At 44.1% G+C, this 5,771-nt stretch overlaps 2 annotated features.

The window, feature by feature from the left end:
* Positions 4,963 to 5,022: an enhancer, noted in NCBI's record as "active region_4564". NCBI's record gives its function as "activates an Ori minimal core promoter by ATAC-STARR-seq in GM12878 lymphoblastoid cells {active_cell/tissue: GM12878}" and the evidence as "EXISTENCE:reporter gene assay evidence [ECO:0000049][PMID:35858748]".
* Positions 5,216 to 5,416: a silencer, noted in NCBI's record as "peak1244 fragment used in MPRA reporter construct". NCBI's record gives its function as "represses an SCP1 promoter by STARR-seq MPRAs in K562 erythroleukemia cells {active_cell/tissue: K562}" and the evidence as "EXISTENCE:reporter gene assay evidence [ECO:0000049][PMID:32103011]".

Raw genomic sequence — 5,771 nt, forward strand, 5'->3', positions numbered from 1 at the left:
GCACCACCATACCTGCCTAATGTTTTTTATTTTTTGTGGCGATGGGGGTCTCACTATGTTGTCCAGGCTGGTCTCAAACTCCTGGCCTCAAACAACCCTCCTGATTAATCCTCCCAAAGCGCTGGGATTACAGGTGTGAGCCATCAGGCCTGGCCTACTTATTCTTTTAAAAAAGATGTGATTATCCACAAAAAGACTTACAGCAGCTTTATTCAAATAGCACAAAAAGGCCGGGCACAGTGGCTCATGCCTATAATCCCAGCACTTTGGGAGGCTGAGGCAGGTGGGTCATTTGAGGTTAGGAGTTTGAGATCAGCCCAGCCAACATGGTGAAACCCTGTCTCTACTATAAATACAAAAAAATTAGCCAGGCATGGTGGCAGGTGCCTGTAATCCCAGCTATTCAGGAGGCTGAGGCAGGGGAATTGCTTGAACCTGGGAGGCAGAGGCTGCCGTGGGCCAAGATCGTGCCACTGCACTCCAGCCTGGGTAACAGAGCAAGTCTCTGTTAAAAAAAAAAAAAAAAAAGAATTGGCAAAAACCCGAATGTCCACCAATGGGTGAATGAATAAACAAATTTTGGTAACATTCACACAATGGAATACCGCTCAGCAATCAAAAAGAAGAAACTATTGATGCATGTGGCAACACGGATGAATTTTAGAAAACATTTTTGCTGGCTGGGCGTGGTGGCTCATGCCTATAATCCCAGCAATTTGGGAGGCCAAGGAAAGCAGATCACTTGAGGTCAGGAGTTTGAGACCAACCTGACCAACTTGGCAAAACTTGGTCTCTACTAAAAATACGAAAATTAGCTGAGCATGGTGGTGGGCACCTGTAATCCTAGCTACTAGGGAGGCTGAGGCAGGAGAATTGCTTGAACCCGGGAGGTGGAGGTTGCACTCCAGCCTGGGTGACAGGGCGGGACTCTGTCTCAAATAAAAATAAAAATAAAAAACATTTTGCTGAATGAAAGAAGTCAAATATTGAAGAGTAACACCCTGTGATTCTATGTATATGAAATTCTACTTTATCGCAATGGAAAACAGTTTCCCTGGGGCTGGAAAGTGGGATGGATTGTGGGGATTGACTGTGACAGACACCAGGAGGTTTTGGGGGTGACAGAAATGTATTATATCTTGATTGTACTGGTGGGTACACTACAGTGTGCATAAGTGTCAAGACTCAGAACTACACACCTAAAATAATGCACTTAATTAAATGTCAATTATGCTTCAATAAAGTTGAATTTTTTAAAAAGCACTCTTGAGTCTCTTTTTCTTTTTATTCTCCCTTGCTGCCAGAGACATGCATGTGGTTCGTGTTCATGTGTTGTAAAGGTGTTCTGAAGAGACTGAGTGTCAGAGTCGCCACATCCTATAATAACCCACATCCTTCTGGGAAAGATCAGATGGGTCTGTTTGGAAGTCAGTGCTGTTTTCCATCACCAAGGGGACTGCTGCGGAATGCCGCCCCCAAAGTTCATTATCTCAGCACTTAATGTTTTGTTTTTGTTTTTTCAAAATACAGAAAAGTAATTAGAAGACATGATGAGCAATAACCTCTGTGCCAAATTACCTTGTTTTAATTTGATGATGCTTTTGAATTGTTCAAGCTCAAATAATTAATTTTATAACTGTCAGGTCTTGATAGAATTTTTTTTTTTGGAATGTGCGTGCCAAGAATCATAAGGAATGTTTTTCACAGTAAAATCTTAACCTCCTAAGACACACAATGACCACCAGACCACTGATCTGCTTCAAATATTTGAAAGATAATAAGCCACAAGTTCACAGGAGGAAATTATTGCCTGGCCAACCTCTAGCAGTTGAGGTTTGACGATTTCTTTAGTGACATTTATAAAAGCGCATTGTTTTAATCAGACCATAAGAAGACTGAATCAGGTTTCAGATTCACTCGGGGTTGATAATTGAGCTCATTCCTGAAAGGCCTCAGGAGCACTAAAGCACTGAAGTGAAACCATGGAAATTAGGGATTTGAATAGGAGAATCGTGAACTTTGGTAAAGAAAACATTCCCCATGGAGAGTGCTGATGGAACAAACTTTGCCAAAACCTATTAATAAGATTAATGAAGATAAAATTAGGGAAAACACCATGAATCTTGTTGTCTATGGGAGGAAAGAAGAGAAAGGGGGAAAAAATCAGGCTCATTTACACCCTTGACTATGTCATCATGAGCCCACAAGGAGGGGCCCGACACCATCTTCCTTTTTGCAGAGAGAATGCAATGTCCAGTTCTTTCTTCTGCTGCTGCTAGGATTTGCCTTTGGCATAGTTGGCCTGTCTAAATGAAACCGGAACAAAGTTCCAGGCCATCTTTTACAAATGTTTGTTCTCCACAAGGGCAGGGGAACTTCCTAAGTGGGTAAGCTGGCTGAAGACCTGAGCCGAGCTTAGAAAAGAGGAGCCAGGCCTGTCCTTGAACTCGCAGAGCTGAGCAGAGCAGCACACACATGGTCCACCCTGGCTTGGAGCCCCGAAGTGGAGCCCAGCCCAAAACTTCTCTGGAAAGGTTATGGTGCATTCGAAGCACAGGCCTCACATCTACCTCTAAGTCTTGGCCATTATTGGTAAAGGCAAGTAGGGGGCAAGCCTTTTTAAATCATGTTTTTACTGATACAACCTTAGAGGATGGCCTCACAACCCCTAGACACTGCTATTAACTGAAAGAGTGGCCAAGTTTTAATCTCACCTAGAAGACAGCTGACAACCACCAGGGCATCTCATGAAAAATGGATCTGTTAAGCCACATGCAATCCATTACACTTTCAGACTATTCATCTATTCTATTTCTTTCTTTTCTTTTTTTTTTTTTTGCTGAGACGGAGTTTTGCTCTGTCACCCAGGCTGGAGTGCAGTGGCGCAATCTCAGCTCACTGCAACCTCCGCCTCCCGGGTTCAAGCGATTCTCATGCCTCAGCCTCCCTAGTAGCTGGGATTACAGGCACGCAGCCACCACGCTCGGCTAATTTTTGGATTTTTAGTAGATATGGGGTTCCGCCATGTTGGCCAGGCTGTTCTCGAACTCCTGACCTCAAGTGATCCATCCACCTTGGCCTCCCAAAGTTCTGGGGTTACAGGTGTGAGCCACTGCACCCGGCCTACTGGCCTTTTTCTATTTTTTTTTATGCATATAAGGCATATTTGCACCATTGGGCCTTTGCACATGCTGTTCCCTCTGCAGACAATTCCTTTGCATTGGGTCTTCAAATGTCACCCCCTCAACCACCCCATGGCTTTGAGGCCACATACAAATGGAGGGAAAGGATAAGTTCATATTTTGGTATTGGTTCCATGCCCAAAATTTGATTATTCCTAAGGATGGATAAGTTGATGTTAGATAAGGAAAAAAACAGTCCTACTTGTAATAGTCTATCCCATTGCTAGATCATTTTATTCTAATATGGGATTCAGAAATCTTAGGCATATTACTTCAAAAATCATAAGATCATTATTATCTACAGAGGTGATAAAAATCACAGAGTTGAATAGATGTCTTTTATAGAGTCAGTGAGAATTGACTGAGAAGTCTCTGCTCTTTTATTCAGAGCCTTTATCTAAATAGATCGCTATCATGGTTTCTAGCAGTGGATGCCTGCGTGACCAACCAAGACCTCTTGAACCAATGGACTGAACTTTTGTCAGTTTTCACATCAGGGGTAAGAATGGCTTAATGTTAAAAGCACCTCAGCAAGATGCTTTAATACTCTTTTCCTTGATTTATATTTTTAATGTTCTCACTTCTTTAAGAACTTGCGAATATTTGGCTTTGATAACTCTGCACTGCCAAACCTACCAATTTCTTGGTGGGCCAAGGATGACCATGTTTTACTGATTCTATGTTTTCAATCATTAAAGTATTCTGTCGCTGACCACATTCTGTTTTCTGTTTTTTTCTAGTCATCTTAACTAATTCAGAAAAAGCTAAGTTTAAGTGGCCTTTGCTGGCTGGCTGGTCCTGGAGCCACTTCCCTGGCTCCTCCAAATCATCAATCCTGTCCTTTGCTGTGTCACCAAGCACAACTAAGCAGCCTCTGGGGGATGTGGACAAGTCTCCTTAGACAGGGTGGCCTATCCCAGGTTGGATCCAACCCAGAAATGTCCAGTAGAGGCTCAGCCAAGTTGAGGATGGAGCAGAAGCAATGTTAGACCGGGTGGTCTGAGGGTGTGACATTTGAAGACCCAAAGCAAAGTAATTATCTGCAGAGGGAACAGCATGTGCAAAGGCCTTACAGTGCAAATATGCCTCATATACAAAAATAAAAAATTGAAAAAGGCCAGTGGGCTGTGCACAGTGGCTCACGTCCTATAACTTCAGCACTTTGGGAGGCTGAGGCAGCGGATCATTTGAGATCAGGAGCTGGAGACCAGTCTGGCCAATGTGGCAAAACCCTGTCTCTACTAAAAATACAAAAGATTAGCTAGGTGTGGTGGCATGCACCTGTAATCTCAGCTACTCGGGAGGTTGAGGCAGGAAAATTACTTGAACCCGGGAGACAGAGGTTGCAGTGAGCTGAGATTGCACCACTGCACTCCAGCCTGGGCAACAGAGTGAGACTCCATCAAAAAAAGAAAGAAAGAAGGAAAGAAAGAAGGAAAGAAGGGAAGGAAGGAAGGAAGGAAGGAAGGAAGGAAGGAAGGAAGGAAGGAAGGAAGGAGCCAGTGAGACTGGTATATGGTGAGTAGAGGTCACATGGATGAATCAATCTAAATACATTCTAATACTCTTAATAATAATAATACAGTCTTGATACAGATGACAGCACCGGCAATAACAGAACTGAAAATTTTGCACTCAGGTTGGGACTCCCCAAGACAGTGACTGGGTCAAAATCCTATTTCTGGACTTCCTGGATTGACTAATCTTTAACTGGTGGTTGTTAAAACAAGGTTTCTCTATCATGGCCTCACTTCTGCGTAGTCCCGTCGCATTCTAATACTTGCCTCCCTTTTTCCACCCTGGCCACTTCGGGCTTCCAGCATCCCTACAACGTTCACAGTTCCAGAACCACTCAGGACATCTTGTATCTCTCTCTTGACCTGCCAGAGCTTCTTATGGCCTAGCAAGTCATTTTCCTGATTATTACCTCTCCTTATCCCTAATATCTAGTAGTTTCTACCCATTGTTCATTTTCCACTTCTTTGGTTTTTTCCCCCTAGCTCCACACCTCTGGAGCGACATAAATACTCTACCTGGCCCAGCCTGCTTCCAGATATGCTGCTCTACACCTGATGGAGAGCTCGTGCCTAGAGCTCACTACCCAACCCTTAGGACCAGAAAGATGGCAAGACACTTAGGGAACCAGTAATGGCTTATAAGCATGTCAGAATCAGGATAAAGAATTTGGGCTACAAGGCCGGGCGCGGTGACTCACGCCTGTAATCCCAGCACTTTGGGAGTCCGAGGTGGGCGGATCACAAGGTCAGGAGACCGAGACCATCCTGGCTAACACTGTGAAACCCCGTCTCTACTAAAAATACAAAAAAATTAGCCGGGCTTGGTGGCAGGCGCCTGTAGTCCCAGCTACTTGGGAGGCTGAGGCAGGAGAATGGCGTGAACCCGGGAGGCGGAGCTTACACTGAGCCGAGATCGCGCCACTGCACTCCAGCCTGGGCGACAGAGCGAGACTCCATCTCAAAAAAAAAAAAAAAAAAAGAATTTGGGCTGCAATATCCAAATAGATTCTCAGAAACAACCTGCACAATATTTGCTGACAAGTGAATACCAGCCACCTCTACAGCAAAACTT

Source organism: Homo sapiens, chromosome 11 (genome assembly GCF_000001405.40).
Source record: "Homo sapiens chromosome 11, GRCh38.p14 Primary Assembly".
Lineage (NCBI taxonomy): Eukaryota > Metazoa > Chordata > Mammalia > Primates > Hominidae > Homo > Homo sapiens.